Here is an 18,960-nt window from a genome sequence, read left to right as displayed (position 1 = left end):
ATGTGGCCCTCTGGCCCACTCTCCTCTGCTGCCTGTTTCTCCATAGAAAACTAAGCTGGGACGAAAGCACACCCTGTCCTTTCCTAACGTCGGTAGATGGATTCCTGCCGCCGTGCCAGAAAGGAGTTTTTCCTCCGCAGACTGCAGGAGCAAGAGAACCTGCGGGACTCGGTCTCCCTTCACTCGAAATTTGCCCGACTCTCGGCATAGTGTGCACACACCCCAGCACGCGCGCGCGCGCACACACACACACACACACACAGGCACGCACACACGCAGGTGCACACCAGGAAGTGGAGAAATCGTCCAACGCAGAGGTAGAGAGGACTTCGAAATGGGCAACGAAGTAGGGCACTTCCTTTGAAATTACCGTGAAGCCCACAGCTACCTTTGTCTCTGTTCTGCCACTCCGCAAAATTGCTCATCACTTGCCGGAGACAGAGCGGCAGGGACCCAGGGAGAAAGCGGAACCCCTCCAACCCGCCTAACCTAATCAAGGTAGCCTGCGCCTGTGGGCGTGTCCGCAGCCAATCCTCCTGGGAACACCCAGCAGGGGGTCCTGGCTCCCTATCAAAGCCCGCCGGCTGCGCCCAACCGGCCATTTCCCCGCTTGCGCTGCTCAGGCTGCCAGAGGGTAGAGCCTCCTCGCCGGGAACACAGAGCTCTTTCCTGGATGGGGAAGCTGTCCCTTGAGGAGACGGGAGAAGACAGACCTCCCTGTGGAAAGCAGGGGAAGATGGAGACCCGCAAGAACCGGGAGGGTTCTGAGAGAGGACGAGGTGAGTGAGGGTCGAGTGTCTCGTCTGTGCGGATTGGTGTGTGGAGGGGGTGGCAGGGGCCAGGGAGGCAGGAGAGTTAGAGCTGGGGTGACAAAGGCAGCGGTCCCCGCCCCACGGGCCCTGATCCGGCAGGTGGTGGGGAAACCTAAGGTCAAAGAAAGGCAGACTTTTTGTGTGCTGGGTGGCTCCGCCAGCTGGGCCATCCTCTGGGTGCGCCCGCGGAGGAGGGTTTGCTGGAGGGTGCCAGGCAGCTGGGGAACAGCCAGAGTGAGGAGACAAGAAGGGACCAGGGGAGTGGGGCCTGGAGGTCTTGGGCAGCTGGAGAAAGAGGAGGGGGTGGGGGACACCTGGGAGCAGAGCCATTCCTGCCTTGAAGTCACTCTGGGAGCTTGGCCCTTGCAACCCTCCCGCAGCCGTCTACGGACGGGTCATGGCCCACTCACTGTCGACCTCCTCTTCCCCCGCAGCTTCCAGCGGGCACAGCCGGGAGGCCTCTGCGTCCAGGCACAAACGGTGGAGAAGCCCCGACGGCTCCCCTCGCAGTCCCGGCAGAGAAACCGGAAACCGAGGGCGGAAGGTCAAGCCACGACCAGCCCCAGCCGGAGAGCGAGGCCACGACAAGCCCGAGTCCGGCAGAGCACGACGCCCCCACGAGCGCAGAGGAGGCAGGCTTAGGGGCTGGGAGCTTGGAGGGGTGGGGAGGAGGGCGCAGGGCCCCGGGAAGGGGAGCGGGGAGTGGGGGGCCCCGAGGGGGCCGAGGAAGCCCTCAGTGCGCCAGGAACCCGGGCCCCCGGTGGCCCCAGATGAGATGTGCTTCAAGTTTGAATGGGCGGAGGGGAGGGCACCCCGGACGGGGCACCGGAGTCCCCAGGATGCAGGGAGGGGCCGAGAGGATGGGGCGCGGAGGCGAGCCGCGGAGGGGTGGGGGATGGAGGGCAGGGGGAGGCGGGGTCGGGAGCGGCTTCGGGACCTTGGAAATGGGTCCCCTAGCGCTGCGCGCAGTCCCTCTGACACCTCCCGCTCTGTCTCCCGCGCAGGTTCTGTTCCCAGCCCGAGGCGCCTGGAGGAGCCAAAGCACCGGCCTAGATCGCCAGGGAGGACGAGCGGCCCGCAACGCCGCGTTGACGTCCGGGAGGAGCGACCCACCTCCCCAAAGCGCCGCCGACGCCACTCCCCAGAAGCCTGGGTCTCCCTCCCGTGCCCGCTCTCGCGAGTCGTCAACCACCTGGGCGGGCTGGACGTGGCCCTGGGCGAGCTTCGGGCCCCGGGGGGCGCCTTCCTCCCGGGGCCCGCCGGCGGCACGCAGCCCAGCGCCTCGCAGCGCGCCTGGCTCACCTGGCAGCTGGCGCACGCCGGGGCCGCCCTGCACTGGGCGCTGGCCACGCTCGACAGCCTGCTGGCTGCGGGGCCCTGGCCCGCGGGCCCGCCGCCCTTTGCGCCCGCTCCTGGGGGCCCTTAGGTGCGCACGGGAGCCAGCACCCTCGCCTTGGAAAAGCTCGAACCCTCTGCCCCAGAGGCGATCCCGACTCTGCACCGCAAACTCTACGGCGCCCTGCAGGACGGCGGCCTCCTGCCGCTTGGACGCCAGCCAGGAGCTCCCCGGCAGCAGCAGAGCAGAAAGAAGGATGGCCCCGCCCCACTTCGCCTCCCGGCGGTCTCCCTCCCGCCGGCTCACGGACATAGATGGCTGCCTAGCTCCGGAAGCCTAGCTCTTGTTCCGGGCATCCTAAGGAAGACACGGTTTTTCCTCCCGGGGGCTCGCCACATCTGGGACTTTGACGACTCGGGACCTCTCTCCCATTGAATGTTTGCGCGTTCTCTGGGAAAGTGAAATGCCTAACCTTGTTTTTACTCTAAGTCGCTACTTTGAATCTTCCCTGTTGGTCTCTTTAATCACCTAGCCTTGCTTCTCATGTAAATAAGGCTCTCTGTAGCTGGGAATGCTGGACAAACTCCAATCGACCCCTTAATTTACGAGACACGAAGGGCTCCTTACCCAACCCCCTTCCGCAAGGAGTTGACCTGTGTAAGCAGATACTCAGCATTTCAAGGGAGCCCAATCAACTGATAAGATACTGGCACAAACAGTGCATGAAGTTCCCAGGATTTTTCTCGAAGAGATAACAACATAAAGCCTTGAGTTCGTGTCCAGCATAGCACCTATATCTAAGTGTCATGAAGGATTTAGAGCCCCGCACCTGGTACCGTTGCCTTTTGTAACCATTTGCCTTTTAAAACTGTTTATCTCTCTATAACCATTTGCTTCTTTTGATTCCTGCATGTTTTTACTTCTGTAGAATTACCGCATTTGAGTTCCCCTCCCCTTCCTAAACCAAGGTATAGAAGTTAGTCAAGCCCCTTCCTCGGGGCCCAGAGAATTTTGAGCGTTAGCCATCTCTTTGGCCGCCGGCTTAAATAAAGGACTCTTAATTTGTCTCAAAGTGTGGCGTTTTCTCTAACTTCTGTGGGTATAACAAAAGGAAGAGGTGTGGGCTTTGGGCTTGGACCTGTGATTGTCCTTCTTTGAGCCGAGAGCGTTGAGAAGCCTACCTGGAGTGACACCCGGATAGAGGCCGAGCCATGCCGATTCGCGGAAGTGGGGGTGGGGGCTTGGGGAGGTACCTCGCCATAGGTGATTTGCAGGGGAAAGTGAAATGCCCCCGCCATAGGTCATTTGCAGTGGAAAGGAAAATGCCTGGTCGGTCAGCTTCTCCGTGTGTCCCAAGAAATGTCCTCAATGTTTCCAACCTCTGCCCCCAGGGTCAGGAAAATATTCCTGAGAGGGTTTGGTGAGCCTCTGGAATCTCTCCACCATTCCGTGTTTGCTTTGCACCCTTGGCTTTGGCGTGGATGAACTGCATCCACGTTTTTGGAAAACAGTCGTCAAGTGTTTAATGACCCTTGTGGCTACCTCTTCGAGTCGTGTGTGTGTGTGTGTGTGTGTGTGTGTGTGTGTGTGTGTGTTCATGCCAGCGTCCTATGCCTTGTAACTGAAACCTGGGGGCTTCTCTCCCTAACCTGTGATGAACACCTGGGCAACTTTGGAGAAGGAGGTGGAAGGGGAATGTCCCATTGGGTGTCTTGGAACGGTGGCTTCTTTCTTGGGAAAGGAAGTGGGATGGAGAGAATCCACCCGAGCTCTTCAGAAAGGACCTGCACCGATGGGTGATAGGCAGCATGGGCTCAGGAGAGCAGGGAGAGTTAGGGGAGACACCCACGTGCCTGGAATAGTGGAGGGCCATTTGGAGCAAGCCTCAGATGGAGAGCGACGTATCCTGGGGTTCGGTCAATCCTTGTGAACCCGAGAGCGTTCCTACGGACGTTAGACTCTCTTCGAGGTGATCTCTCTTGGAGGTTTTGTCTTGCGATTTAATTATTTCCTTCCCCCGCCGGTGCCTTCAAGTATGAATGACAATAAATATGATACACACTTACCGTGTGTGACGTCTTCATTAGGGAATTCACTAGAATCGGCCGAATTCACACACTTATCGCCCCACATGCGTCCCCTGTCCCTGTCGGGAGAATTTTCAGCTCTACTCCCGTGGGTATATTCACGAGAACCTTACATTCTGCTCCACCGTACTCGCGTTGCCCTGCCACGGATATCCAGGAAGCACTCCACCTGCCTCTCGGAAACTTTGTGCCCTTTGACCCACATCTCGCATGGGCATCTTTTCCCTGCCCCTACCCCGGCCCCAGGCCCGGCCAACCACCTTTCTCCTCTCTACTTTCGCGATCCTCACCGCTTTCCATCCCACATCCCAAGGAGATCACGCAATACGGGTCGGATGGGCCTGGCTGATTTCACTGGGCACCATGACTTTTGGGTCCGTGCATGACGTCCCAGATGACCGGCTCTCCTTTCCTTTCCCTGATGTGTTTCTTCTGCGAACCCCACTCCTTTGTCCTTCTCTAGTCATCTACTGATGGGCACTTAGGTCGATTCCACGTCTTGGTTACAGGTAGCGTGCCGACAACCAACGCAGCAGGACACATATTTGCACCACATCCCGATTTCGTGTCCTTAGGCGATACGTCCAGAAGTGGGATGACTGGACGTATCCCACTGGACTGGAATCCCAGTTCCAGCGGTGATTTCTTGAGCAACCCCCCCGTATCGCTCCCGGCCACCCCTTGACCAGCCCTTACTGTGTTGGCACCTCCCACACCCAGCTGGCCACGCAGCCCTGTCCTCAGGCCTCACTCCTCTCTGCGCCAGGTCCAAGGCGGAGACAGCGAGCCTGAGATGTCCCCGAAAGCCGTCAGGGCGTGACCGGATCCCACGGCACCGGCCCTGCGGATGTTCCATTTCCTTTCGCCTGCTTGCTTTCTGGCGGACGTCTCCGCGCACGCCGTTTCTCAGACTCGCCTGGGACAGCCTGCGCCTCGCACGTCTCCCTCTCCCTCTCTTCTCTTACCGAGTTTCTCCTCCCCACACCCCGCCGGGTCCTGCCTAGAGTCGTGTGCCCCTTCCTTGATTCACGTGCTCACCGAGCGAGCGAGGCGGAGGGCTGTGGCCATACACACACGATGATCCCATCCGCAGCCCGCCGGGATGGTCCTGAGCTCACAGCAACACCCGTCGGGTACACAAAGAGGAGGAGAAAATCAGACCGTGAGGCCTAGGAGGAACCAACTCAAACCTGGCTGGTCGTGGGCAAAATGTGGCCCTCTGGCCCACTCTCCTCTGCTGCCTGTTTCTCCATAGAAAACTAAGCTGGGACGAAAGCACACCCTGTCCTTTCCTAACGTCGGTAGATGGATTCCTGCCGCCGTGCCAGAAAGGAGTTTTTCCTCCGCAGACTGCAGGAGCAAGAGAACCTGCGGGACTCGGTCTCCCTTCACTCGAAATTTGCCCGACTCTCGGCATAGTGTGCACACACCCCAGCACGCGCGCGCGCGCACACACACACACACACACACACAGGCACGCACACACGCAGGTGCACACCAGGAAGTGGAGAAATCGTCCAACGCAGAGGTAGAGAGGACTTCGAAATGGGCAACGAAGTAGGGCACTTCCTTTGAAATTACCGTGAAGCCCACAGCTACCTTTGTCTCTGTTCTGCCACTCCGCAAAATTGCTCATCACTTGCCGGAGACAGAGCGGCAGGGACCCAGGGAGAAAGCGGAACCCCTCCAACCCGCCTAACCTAATCAAGGTAGCCTGCCCCTGTGGGCGTGTCCGCAGCCAATCCTCCTGGGAACTCCCAGCAGGGGGTCCTGGCTCCCTATCAAAGCCCGCCGGCTGCGCCCAACCGGCCATTGCCCCGCTTGCGCTGCTCAGGCTGCCAGAGGGTAGAGCCTCCTCGCCGGGAACACAGAGCTCTTTCCTGGATGGGGAAGCTGTCCTTTGAGGAGACGGGAGAAGACAGACCTCCCTGTGGAAAGCAGGGGAAGATGGAGACCCGCAAGAACCGGGAGGGCTCTGAGAGAGGACGAGGTGAGTGAGGGTCGAGTGTCTCGTCTGTGCGGATTGGTGTGTGGAGGGGGTGGCAGGGGCCAGGGAGGCAGGAGAGTTAGAGCTGGGGTGACAAAGGCAGCGGCCCCCGCCCCACGGGCCCTGATCCGGCAGGTGGTGGGGAAACCTAAGGTCAAAGAAAGGCAGACTTTTTGTGTGCTGGGTGGCTCCGCCAGCTGGGCCATCCTCTGGGTGCGCCCGCGGAGGAGGGTTTGCTGGAGGGTGCCAGGCAGCTGGGGAACAGCCAGAGTGAGGAGACAGGAAGGGACCAGGGGAGTGGGGCCTGGAGGTCTTGGGCAGCTGGAGAAAGAGGAGGGGGTGGGGGACACCTGGGAGCAGAGCCATTCCTGCCTTGAAGTCACTCTGGGAGCTTGGCCCTTGCAACCCTCCCGCAGCCGTCTACGGACGGGTCATGGCCCACTCACTGTCGACCTCCTCTTCCCCCGCAGCTTCCAGCGGGCACAGCCGGGAGGCCTCTGCGTCCAGGCACAAACGGTGGAGAAGCCCCGACGGCTCCCCTCGCAGTCCCGGCAGAGAAACCGGAAACCGAGGGCGGAAGGTCAAGCCACGACCAGCCCCAGCCGGAGAGCGAGGCCACGACAAGCCCGAGTCCGGCAGAGCACGACGCCCCCACGAGCGCAGAGGAGGCAGGTTTAGGGGCTGGGAGCTTGGAGGGGTGGGGAGGAGGGCGCAGGGCCCCGGGAAGGGGAGCGGGGAGTGGGGGGCCCCGAGGGGGCCGAGGAAGCCCTCAGTGCGCCAGGAACCCGGGCCCCCGGTGGCCCCAGATGAGATGTGCTTCAAGTTTGAACGGGCGGAGGGGAGGGCACCCCGGACGGGGCACCGGAGTCCCCAGGATGCAGGGAGGGGCCGAGAGGATGGGGCGCGGAGGCGAGCCGCGGAGGGGTGGGGGATGGAGGGCAGGGGGAGGCGGGGTCGGGAGCGGCTTCGGGACCTTGGAAATGGGTCCCCTAGCGCTGCGCGCAGTCCCTCTGACACCTCCCGCTCTGTCTCCCGCGCAGGTTCTGTTCCCAGCCCGAGGCGCCTGGAGGAGCCAAAGCACCGGCCTAGATCGCCAGGGAGGACGAGCGGCCCGCAACGCCGCGTTGACGTCCGGGAGGAGCGACCCACCTCCCCAAAGCGCCGCCGACGCCACTCCCCAGAAGCCTGGGTCTCCCTCCCGTGCCCGCTCTCGCGAGTCGTCAACCACCTGGGCGGGCTGGACGTGGCCCTGGGCGAGCTTCGGGCCCCGGGGGGCGCCTTCCTCCCGGGGCCCGCCGGCGGCACGCAGCCCAGCGCCTCGCAGCGCGCCTGGCTCACCTGGCAGCTGGCGCACGCCGGGGCCGCCCTGCACTGGGCGCTGGCCACGCTCGACAGCCTGCTGGCTGCGGGGCCCTGGCCCGCGGGCCCGCCGCCCTTTGCGCCCGCTCCTGGGGGCCCTTAGGTGCGCACGGGAGCCAGCACCCTCGCCTTGGAAAAGCTCGAACCCTCTGCCCCAGAGGCGATCCCGACTCTGCACCGCAAACTCTACGGCGCCCTGCAGGACGGCGGCCTCCTGCCGCTTGGACGCCAGCCAGGAGCTCCCCGGCAGCAGCAGAGCAGAAAGAAGGATGGCCCCGCCCCACTTCGCCTCCCGGCGGTCTCCCTCCCGCCGGCTCACGGACATAGATGGCTGCCTAGCTCCGGAAGCCTAGCTCTTGTTCCGGGCATCCTAAGGAAGACACGGTTTTTCCTCCCGGGGGCTCGCCACATCTGGGACTTTGACGACTCGGGACCTCTCTCCCATTGAATGTTTGCGCGTTCTCTGGGAAAGTGAAATGCCTAACCTTGTTTTTACTCTAAGTCGCTACTTTGAATCTTCCCTGTTGGTCTCTTTAATCACCTAGCCTTGCTTCTCATGTAAATAAGGCTCTCTGTAGCTGGGAATGCTGGACAAACTCCAATCGACCCCTTAATTTACGAGACACGAAGGGCTCCTTACCCAACCCCCTTCCGCAAGGAGTTGACCTGTGTAAGCAGATACTCAGCATTTCAAGGGAGCCCAATCAACTGATAAGATACTGGCACAAACAGTGCATGAAGTTCCCAGGATTTTTCTCGAAGAGATAACAACATAAAGCCTTGAGTTCGTGTCCAGCATAGCACCTATATCTAAGTGTCATGAAGGATTTAGAGCCCCGCACCTGGTACCGTTGCCTTTTGTAACCATTTGCCTTTTAAAACTGTTTATCTCTCTATAACCATTTGCTTCTTTTGATTCCTGCATGTTTTTACTTCTGTAGAATTACCGCATTTGAGTTCCCCTCCCCTTCCTAAACCAAGGTATAGAAGTTAGTCAAGCCCCTTCCTCGGGGCCCAGAGAATTTTGAGCGTTAGCCATCTCTTTGGCCGCCGGCTTAAATAAAGGACTCTTAATTTGTCTCAAAGTGTGGCGTTTTCTCTAACTTCTGTGGGTATAACAAAAGGAAGAGGTGTGGGCTTTGGGCTTGGACCTGTGATTGTCCTTCTTTGAGCCGAGAGCGTTGAGAAGCCTACCTGGAGTGACACCCGGATAGAGGCCGAGCCATGCCGATTCGCGGAAGTGGGGGTGGGGGCTTGGGGAGGTACCTCGCCATAGGTGATTTGCAGGGGAAAGTGAAATGCCCCCGCCATAGGTCATTTGCAGTGGAAAGGAAAATGCCTGGTCGGTCAGCTTCTCCGTGTGTCCCAAGAAATGTCCTCAATGTTTCCAACCTCTGCCCCCAGGGTCAGGAAAATATTCCTGAGAGGGTTTGGTGAGCCTCTGGAATCTCTCCACCATTCCGTGTTTGCTTTGCACCCTTGGCTTTGGCGTGGATGAACTGCATCCACGTTTTTGGAAAACAGTCGTCAAGTGTTTAATGACCCTTGTGGCTACCTCTTCGAGTCGTGTGTGTGTGTGTGTGTGTGTGTGTGTGTGTGTGTGTTCATGCCAGCGTCCTATGCCTTGTAACTGAAACCTGGGGGCTTCTCTCCCTAACCTGTGATGAACACCTGGGCAACTTTGGAGAAGGAGGTGGAAGGGGAATGTCCCATTGGGTGTCTTGGAACGGTGGCTTCTTTCTTGGGAAAGGAAGTGGGATGGAGAGAATCCACCCGAGCTCTTCAGAAAGGACCTGCACCGATGGGTGATAGGCAGCATGGGCTCAGGAGAGCAGGGAGAGTTAGGGGAGACACCCACGTGCCTGGAATAGTGGAGGGCCATTTGGAGCAAGCCTCAGATGGAGAGCGACGTATCCTGGGGTTCGGTCAATCCTTGTGAACCCGAGAGCGTTCCTACGGACGTTAGACTCTCTTCGAGGTGATCTCTCTTGGAGGTTTTGTCTTGCGATTTAATTATTTCCTTCCCCCGCCGGTGCCTTCAAGTATGAATGACAATAAATATGATACACACTTACCGTGTGTGACGTCTTCATTAGGGAATTCACTAGAATCGGCCGAATTCACACACTTATCGCCCCACATGCGTCCCCTGTCCCTGTCGGGAGAATTTTCAGCTCTACTCCCGTGGGTATATTCACGAGAACCTTACATTCTGCTCCACCGTACTCACGTTGCCCTGCCACGGATATCCAGGAAGCACTCCACCTGCCTCTCGGAAACTTTGTGCCCTTTGACCCACATCTCGCATTGGCATCTTTTCCCTGCCCCTACCCCGGCCCCAGGCCCGGCCAACCACCTTTCTCCTCTCTACTTTCGCGATCCTCACCGCTTTCCATCCCACATCCCAAGGAGATCACGCAATACGGGTCGGATGGGCCTGGCTGATTTCACTGGGCACCATGACTTTTGGGTCCGTGCATGACGTCCCAGATGACCGGCTCTCCTTTCCTTTCCCTGATGTGTTTCTTCTGCGAACCCCACTCCTTTGTCCTTCTCTAGTCATCTACTGATGGGCACTTAGGTCGATTCCACGTCTTGGTTACAGGTAGCGTGCCGACAACCAACGCAGCAGGACACATATTTGCACCACATCCCGATTTCGTGTCCTTAGGCGATACGTCCAGAAGTGGGATGACTGGACGTATCCCACTGGACTGGAATCCCAGTTCCAGCGGTGATTTCTTGAGCAACCCCCCCGTATCGCTCCCGGCCACCCCTTGACCAGCCCTTACTGTGTTGGCACCTCCCACACCCAGCTGGCCACGCAGCCCTGTCCTCAGGCCTCACTCCTCTCTGCGCCAGGTCCAAGGCAGAGACAGCGAGCCTGAGATGTCCCCGAAAGCCGTCAGGGCGTGACCGGATCCCACGGCACCGGCCCTGCGGATGTTCCATTTCCTTTCGCCTGCTTGCTTTCTGGCGGACGTCTCCGCGCACGCCGTTTCTCAGACTCGCCTGGGACAGCCTGCGCCTCGCACGTCTCCCTCTCCCTCTCTTCTCTTACCGAGTTTCTCCTCCCCACACCCCGCCGGGTCCTGCCTAGAGTCGTGTGCCCCTTCCTTGATTCACGTGCTCACCGAGCGAGCGAGGCGGAGGGCTGTGGCCATACACACACGATGATCCCATCCACAGCCCGCCGGGATGGTCCTGAGCTCACAGCAACACCCGTCGGGTACACAAAGAGGAGGAGAAAATCAGACCGTGAGGCCTAGGAGGAACCAACTCAAACCTGGCTGGTCGTGGGCAAAATGTGGCCCTCTGGCCCACTCTCCTCTGCTGCCTGTTTCTCCATAGAAAACTAAGCTGGGACGAAAGCACACCCTGTCCTTTCCTAACGTCGGTAGATGGATTCCTGCCGCCGTGCCAGAAAGGAGTTTTTCCTCCGCAGACTGCAGGAGCAAGAGAACCTGCGGGACTCGGTCTCCCTTCACTCGAAATTTGCCCGACTCTCGGCATAGTGTGCACACACCCCAGCACGCGCGCGCGCGCACACACACACACACACACACACAGGCACGCACACACGCAGGTGCACACCAGGAAGTGGAGAAATCGTCCAACGCAGAGGTAGAGAGGCCTTCGAAATGGGCAACGAAGTAGGGCACTTCCTTTGAAATTACCGTGAAGCCCACAGCTACCTTTGTCTCTGTTCTGCCACTCCGCAAAATTGCTCATCACTTGCCGGAGACAGAGCGGCAGGGACCCAGGGAGAAAGCGGAACCCCTCCAACCCGCCTAACCTAATCAAGGTAGCCTGCCCCTGTGGGCGTGTCCGCAGCCAATCCTCCTGGGAACTCCCAGCAGGGGGTCCTGGCTCCCTATCAAAGCCCGCCGGCTGCGCCCAACCGGCCATTGCCCCGCTTGCGCTGCTCAGGCTGCCAGAGGGTAGAGCCTCCTCGCCGGGAACACAGAGCTCTTTCCTGGATGGGGAAGCTGTCCTTTGAGGAGACGGGAGAAGACAGACCTCCCTGTGGAAAGCAGGGGAAGATGGAGACCCGCAAGAACCGGGAGGGCTCTGAGAGAGGACGAGGTGAGTGAGGGTCGAGTGTCTCGTCTGTGCGGATTGGTGTGTGGAGGGGGTGGCAGGGGCCAGGGAGGCAGGAGAGTTAGAGCTGGGGTGACAAAGGCAGCGGCCCCCGCCCCACGGGCCCTGATCCGGCAGGTGGTGGGGAAACCTAAGGTCAAAGAAAGGCAGACTTTTTGTGTGCTGGGTGGCTCCGCCAGCTGGGCCATCCTCTGGGTGCGCCCGCGGAGGAGGGTTTGCTGGAGGGTGCCAGGCAGCTGGGGAACAGCCAGAGTGAGGAGACAGGAAGGGACCAGGGGAGTGGGGCCTGGAGGTCTTGGGCAGCTGGAGAAAGAGGAGGGGGTGGGGGACACCTGGGAGCAGAGCCATTCCTGCCTTGAAGTCACTCTGGGAGCTTGGCCCTTGCAACCCTCCCGCAGCCGTCTACGGACGGGTCATGGCCCACTCACTGTCGACCTCCTCTTCCCCCGCAGCTTCCAGCGGGCACAGCCGGGAGGCCTCTGCGTCCAGGCACAAACGGTGGAGAAGCCCCGACGGCTCCCCTCGCAGTCCCGGCAGAGAAACCGGAAACCGAGGGCGGAAGGTCAAGCCACGACCAGCCCCAGCCGGAGAGCGAGGCCACGACAAGCCCGAGTCCGGCAGAGCACGACGCCCCCACGAGCGCAGAGGAGGCAGGTTTAGGGGCTGGGAGCTTGGAGGGGTGGGGAGGAGGGCGCAGGGCCCCGGGAAGGGGAGCGGGGAGTGGGGGGCCCCGAGGGGGCCGAGGAAGCCCTCAGTGCGCCAGGAACCCGGGCCCCCGGTGGCCCCAGATGAGATGTGCTTCAAGTTTGAATGGGCGGAGGGGAGGGCACCCCGGACGGGGCACCGGAGTCCCCAGGATGCAGGGAGGGGCCGAGAGGATGGGGCGCGGAGGCGAGCCGCGGAGGGGTGGGGGATGGAGGGCAGGGGGAGGCGGGGTCGGGAGCGGCTTCGGGACCTTGGAAATGGGTCCCCTAGCGCTGCGCGCAGTCCCTCTGACACCTCCCGCTCTGTCTCCCGCGCAGGTTCTGTTCCCAGCCCGAGGCGCCTGGAGGAGCCAAAGCACCGGCCTAGATCGCCAGGGAGGACGAGCGGCCCGCAACGCCGCGTTGACGTCCGGGAGGAGCGACCCACCTCCCCAAAGCGCCGCCGACGCCACTCCCCAGAAGCCTGGGTCTCCCTCCCGTGCCCGCTCTCGCGAGTCGTCAACCACCTGGGCGGGCTGGACGTGGCCCTGGGCGAGCTTCGGGCCCCGGGGGGCGCCTTCCTCCCGGGGCCCGCCGGCGGCACGCAGCCCAGCGCCTCGCAGCGCGCCTGGCTCACCTGGCAGCTGGCGCACGCCGGGGCCGCCCTGCACTGGGCGCTGGCCACGCTCGACAGCCTGCTGGCTGCGGGGCCCTGGCCCGCGGGCCCGCCGCCCTTTGCGCCCGCTCCTGGGGGCCCTTAGGTGCGCACGGGAGCCAGCACCCTCGCCTTGGAAAAGCTCGAACCCTCTGCCCCAGAGGCGATCCCGACTCTGCACCGCAAACTCTACGGCGCCCTGCAGGACGGCGGCCTCCTGCCGCTTGGACGCCAGCCAGGAGCTCCCCGGCAGCAGCAGAGCAGAAAGAAGGATGGCCCCGCCCCACTTCGCCTCCCGGCGGTCTCCCTCCCGCCGGCTCACGGACATAGATGGCTGCCTAGCTCCGGAAGCCTAGCTCTTGTTCCGGGCATCCTAAGGAAGACACGGTTTTTCCTCCCGGGGGCTCGCCACATCTGGGACTTTGACGACTCGGGACCTCTCTCCCATTGAATGTTTGCGCGTTCTCTGGGAAAGTGAAATGCCTAACCTTGTTTTTACTCTAAGTCGCTACTTTGAATCTTCCCTGTTGGTCTCTTTAATCACCTAGCCTTGCTTCTCATGTAAATAAGGCTCTCTGTAGCTGGGAATGCTGGACAAACTCCAATCGACCCCTTAATTTACGAGACACGAAGGGCTCCTTACCCAACCCCCTTCCGCAAGGAGTTGACCTGTGTAAGCAGATACTCAGCATTTCAAGGGAGCCCAATCAACTGATAAGATACTGGCACAAACAGTGCATGAAGTTCCCAGGATTTTTCTCGAAGAGATAACAACATAAAGCCTTGAGTTCGTGTCCAGCATAGCACCTATATCTAAGTGTCATGAAGGATTTAGAGCCCCGCACCTGGTACCGTTGCCTTTTGTAACCATTTGCCTTTTAAAACTGTTTATCTCTCTATAACCATTTGCTTCTTTTGATTCCTGCATGTTTTTACTTCTGTAGAATTACCGCATTTGAGTTCCCCTCCCCTTCCTAAACCAAGGTATAGAAGTTAGTCAAGCCCCTTCCTCGGGGCCCAGAGAATTTTGAGCGTTAGCCATCTCTTTGGCCGCCGGCTTAAATAAAGGACTCTTAATTTGTCTCAAAGTGTGGCGTTTTCTCTAACTTCTGTGGGTATAACAAAAGGAAGAGGTGTGGGCTTTGGGCTTGGACCTGTGATTGTCCTTCTTTGAGCCGAGAGCGTTGAGAAGCCTACCTGGAGTGACACCCGGATAGAGGCCGAGCCATGCCGATTCGCGGAAGTGGGGGTGGGGGCTTGGGGAGGTACCTCGCCATAGGTGATTTGCAGGGGAAAGTGAAATGCCCCCGCCATAGGTCATTTGCAGTGGAAAGGAAAATGCCTGGTCGGTCAGCTTCTCCGTGTGTCCCAAGAAATGTCCTCAATGTTTCCAACCTCTGCCCCAGGGTCAGGAAAATATTCCTGAGAGGGTTTGGTGAGCCTCTGGAATCTCTCCACCATTCCGTGTTTGCTTTGCACCCTTGGCTTTGGCGTGGATGAACTGCATCCACGTTTTTGGAAAACAGTCGTCAAGTGTTTAATGACCCTTGTGGCTACCTCTTCGAGTCGTGTGTGTGTGTGTGTGTGTGTGTGTGTGTGTGTGTGTGTGTGTTCATGCCAGCGTCCTATGCCTTGTAACTGAAACCTGGGGGCTTCTCTCCCTAACCTGTGATGAACACCTGGGCAACTTTGGAGAAGGAGGTGGAAGGGGAATGTCCCATTGGGTGTCTTGGAACGGTGGCTTCTTTCTTGGGAAAGGAAGTGGGATGGAGAGAATCCACCCGAGCTCTTCAGAAAGGACCTGCACCGATGGGTGATAGGCAGCATGGGCTCAGGAGAGCAGGGAGAGTTAGGGGAGACACCCACGTGCCTGGAATAGTGGAGGGCCATTTGGAGCAAGCCTCAGATGGAGAGCGACGTATCCTGGGGTTCGGTCAATCCTTGTGAACCCGAGAGCGTTCCTACGGACGTTAGACTCTCTTCGAGGTGATCTCTCTTGGAGGTTTTGTCTTGCGATTTAATTATTTCCTTCCCCCGCCGGTGCCTTCAAGTATGAATGACAATAAATATGATACACACTTACCGTGTGTGACGTCTTCATTAGGGAATTCACTAGAATCGGCCGAATTCACACACTTATCGCCCCACATGCGTCCCCTGTCCCTGTCGGGAGAATTTTCAGCTCTACTCCCGTGGGTATATTCACGAGAACCTTACATTCTGCTCCACCGTACTCACGTTGCCCTGCCACGGATATCCAGGAAGCACTCCACCTGCCTCTCGGAAACTTTGTGCCCTTTGACCCACATCTCGCATTGGCATCTTTTCCCTGCCCCTACCCCGGCCCCAGGCCCGGCCAACCACCTTTCTCCTCTCTACTTTCGCGATCCTCACCGCTTTCCATCCCACATCCCAAGGAGATCACGCAATACGGGTCGGATGGGCCTGGCTGATTTCACTGGGCACCATGACTTTTGGGTCCGTGCATGACGTCCCAGATGACCGGCTCTCCTTTCCTTTCCCTGATGTGTTTCTTCTGCGAACCCCACTCCTTTGTCCTTCTCTAGTCATCTACTGATGGGCACTTAGGTCGATTCCACGTCTTGGTTACAGGTAGCGTGCCGACAACCAACGCAGCAGGACACATATTTGCACCACATCCCGATTTCGTGTCCTTAGGCGATACGTCCAGAAGTGGGATGACTGGACGTATCCCACTGGACTGGAATCCCAGTTCCAGCGGTGATTTCTTGAGCAACCCCCCCGTATCGCTCCCGGCCACCCCTTGACCAGCCCTTACTGTGTTGGCACCTCCCACACCCAGCTGGCCACGCAGCCCTGTCCTCAGGCCTCACTCCTCTCTGCGCCAGGTCCAAGGCAGAGACAGCGAGCCTGAGATGTCCCCGAAAGCCGTCAGGGCGTGACCGGATCCCACGGCACCGGCCCTGCGGATGTTCCATTTCCTTTCGCCTGCTTGCTTTCTGCGGGACGTCTCCGCGCACGCCGTTTCTCAGACTCGCCTGGGACAGCCTGCGCCTCGCACGTCTCCCTCTCCCTCTCTTCTCTTACCGAGTTTCTCCTCCCCACACCCGCCGGGTCCTGCCTAGAGTCGTGTGCCCCTTCCTTGATTCACGTGCTCACCGAGCGAGCGAGGCGGAGGGCTGTGGCCATACACACACGATGATCCCATCCACAGCCGCCGGGATGGTCCTGAGCTCACAGCAACACCGTCGGGTACACAAAGAGGAGGAGAAAATCAGACCGTGAGGCCTAGGAGGAACCAACTCAAACCTGGCTGGTCGTGGGCAAAATGTGGCCCTCTGGCCCACTCTCCTCTGCTGCCTGTTTCTCCATAGAAAACTAAGCTGGGACGAAAGCACACCCTGTCCTTTCCTAACGTCGGTAGATGGATTCCTGCCGCCGTGCCAGAAAGGAGTTTTTCCTCCGCAGACTGCAGGAGCAAGAGAACCTGCGGGACTCGGTCTCCCTTCACTCGAAATTTGCCCGACTCTCGGCATAGTGTGCACACACCCCAGCACGCGCGCGCGCGCACACACACACACACACACACACAGGCACGCACACACGCAGGTGCACACCAGGAAGTGGAGAAATCGTCCAACGCAGAGGTAGAGAGGCCTTCGAAATGGGCAACGAAGTAGGGCACTTCCTTTGAAATTACCGTGAAGCCCACAGCTACCTTTGTCTCTGTTCTGCCACTCCGCAAAATTGCTCATCACTTGCCGGAGACAGAGCGGCAGGGACCCAGGGAGAAAGCGGAACCCCTCCAACCCGCCTAACCTAATCAAGGTAGCCTGCCCCTGTGGGCGTGTCCGCAGCCAATCCTCCTGGGAACTCCCAGCAGGGGGTCCTGGCTCCCTATCAAAGCCCGCCGGCTGCGCCCAACCGGCCATTGCCCCGCTTGCGCTGCTCAGGCTGCCAGAGGGTAGAGCCTCCTCGCCGGGAACACAGAGCTCTTTCCTGGATGGGGAAGCTGTCCTTTGAGGAGACGGGAGAAGACAGACCTCCCTGTGGAAAGCAGGGGAAGATGGAGACCCGCAAGAACCGGGAGGGCTCTGAGAGAGGACGAGGTGAGTGAGGGTCGAGTGTCTCGTCTGTGCGGATTGGTGTGTGGAGGGGGTGGCAGGGGCCAGGGAGGCAGGAGAGTTAGAGCTGGGGTGACAAAGGCAGCGGCCCCCGCCCCACGGGCCCTGATCCGGCAGGTGGTGGGGAAACCTAAGGTCAAAGAAAGGCAGACTTTTTGTGTGCTGGGTGGCTCCGCCAGCTGGGCCATCCTCTGGGTGCGCCCGCGGAGGAGGGTTTGCTGGAGGGTGCCAGGCAGCTGGGGAACAGCCAGAGTGAGGAGACAGGAAGGGACCAGGGGAGTGGGGCCTGGAGGTCTTGGGCAGCTGGAGAAAGAGGAGGGGGTGGGGGACACCTGGGAGCAGAGCCATTCCTGCCTTGAAGTCACTCTGGGAGCTTGGCCCTTGCAACCCTCCCGCAGCCGTCTACGGACGGGTCATGGCCCACTCACTGTCGACCTCCTCTTCCCCCGCAGCTTCCAGCGGGCACAGCCGGGAGGCCTCTGCGTCCAGGCACAAACGGTGGAGAAGCCCCGACGGCTCCCCTCGCAGTCCCGGCAGAGAAACCGGAAACCGAGGGCGGAAGGTCAAGCCACGACCAGCCCCAGCCGGAGAGCGAGGCCACGACAAGCCCGAGTCCGGCAGAGCACGACGCCCCCACGAGCGCAGAGGAGGCAGGTTTAGGGGCTGGGAGCTTGGAGGGGTGGGGAGGAGGGCGCAGGGCCCCGGGAAGGGGAGCGGGGAGTGGGGGGCCCCGAGGGGGCCGAGGAAGCCCTCAGTGCGCCAGGAACCCGGGCCCCCCGGTGGCCCCCAGATGAGATGTGCTTCAAGTTTGAATGGGCGGAGGGGAGGGCACCCCGGACGGGGCACCGGAGTCCCCAGGATGCAGGGAGGGGCCGAGAGGATGGGGCGCGGAGGCGAGCCGCGGAGGGGTGGGGGATGGAGGGCAGGGGGAGGCGGGGTCGGGAGCGGCTTCGGGACCTTGGAAATGGGTCCCCTAGCGCTGCGCGCAGTCCCTCTGACACCTCCCGCTCTGTCTCCCGCGCAGGTTCTGTTCCCAGCCCGAGGCGCCTGGAGGAGCCAAAGCACCGGCCTAGATCGCCAGGGAGGACGAGCGGCCCGCAACGCCGCGTTGACGTCCGGGAGGAGCGACCCACCTCCCCAAAGCGCCGCCGACGCCACTCCCCAGAAGCCTGGGTCTCCCTCCCGTGCCCGCTCTCGCGAGTCGTCAACCACCTGGGCGGGCTGGACGTGGCCCTGGGCGAGCTTCGGGCCCCGGGGGGCGCCTTCCTCCCGGGGCCCGCCGGCGGCACGCAGCCCAGCGCCTCGCAGCGCGCCTGGCTCACCTGGCAGCTGGCGCACGCCGGGGCCGCCCTGCACTGGGCGCTGGCCACGCTCGACAGCCTGCTGGCTGCGGGGCCCTGGCCCGCGGGCCCGCCGCCCTTTGCGCCCGCTCCTGGGGGCCCTTAGGTGCGCACGGGAGCCAGCACCCTCGCCTTGGAAAAGCTCGAACCCTCTGCCCCAGAGGCGATCCCGACTCTGCACCGCAAACTCTACGGCGCCCTGCAGGACGGCGGCCTCCTGCCGCTTGGACGCCAGCCAGGAGCTCCCCGGCAGCAGCAGAGCAGAAAGAAGGATGGCCCCGCCCCACTTCGCCTCCCGGCGGTCTCCCTCCCGCCGGCTCACGGACATAGATGGCTGCCTAGCTCCGGAAGCCTAGCTCTTGTTCCGGGCATCCTAAGGAAGACACGGTTTTTCCTCCCGGGGGCTCGCCACATCTGGGACTTTGACGACTCGGGACCTCTCTCCCATTGAATGTTTGCGCGTTCTCTGGGAAAGTGAAATGCCTAACCTTGTT

General features: G+C 60.7%; 2 annotated features.

The window, feature by feature from the left end:
- Positions 4,764 to 5,265: an enhancer, noted in NCBI's record as "OCT4 hESC enhancer chr9:115846570-115847071 (GRCh37/hg19 assembly coordinates)". NCBI's record gives its function as "activates a minimal SCP1, AML or CMV promoter by ChIP-STARR-seq in naive H9 embryonic stem cells {active_cell/tissue: H9 hESC(naive)}" and the evidence as "EXISTENCE:reporter gene assay evidence [ECO:0000049][PMID:30033119]".
- Positions 12,567 to 13,154: an enhancer, noted in NCBI's record as "H3K27ac-H3K4me1 hESC enhancer chr9:115838681-115839268 (GRCh37/hg19 assembly coordinates)". NCBI's record gives its function as "activates a minimal SCP1, AML or CMV promoter by ChIP-STARR-seq in primed H9 embryonic stem cells {active_cell/tissue: H9 hESC(primed)}" and the evidence as "EXISTENCE:reporter gene assay evidence [ECO:0000049][PMID:30033119]".

Source organism: Homo sapiens, chromosome 9, assembly GCF_000001405.40.
Source record: "Homo sapiens chromosome 9, GRCh38.p14 Primary Assembly".
NCBI lineage: Eukaryota > Metazoa > Chordata > Mammalia > Primates > Hominidae > Homo > Homo sapiens.
The sequence above is the reverse complement of the archived record's forward strand: the minus strand, read 5'-3'. Positions and strand labels throughout refer to the sequence as shown.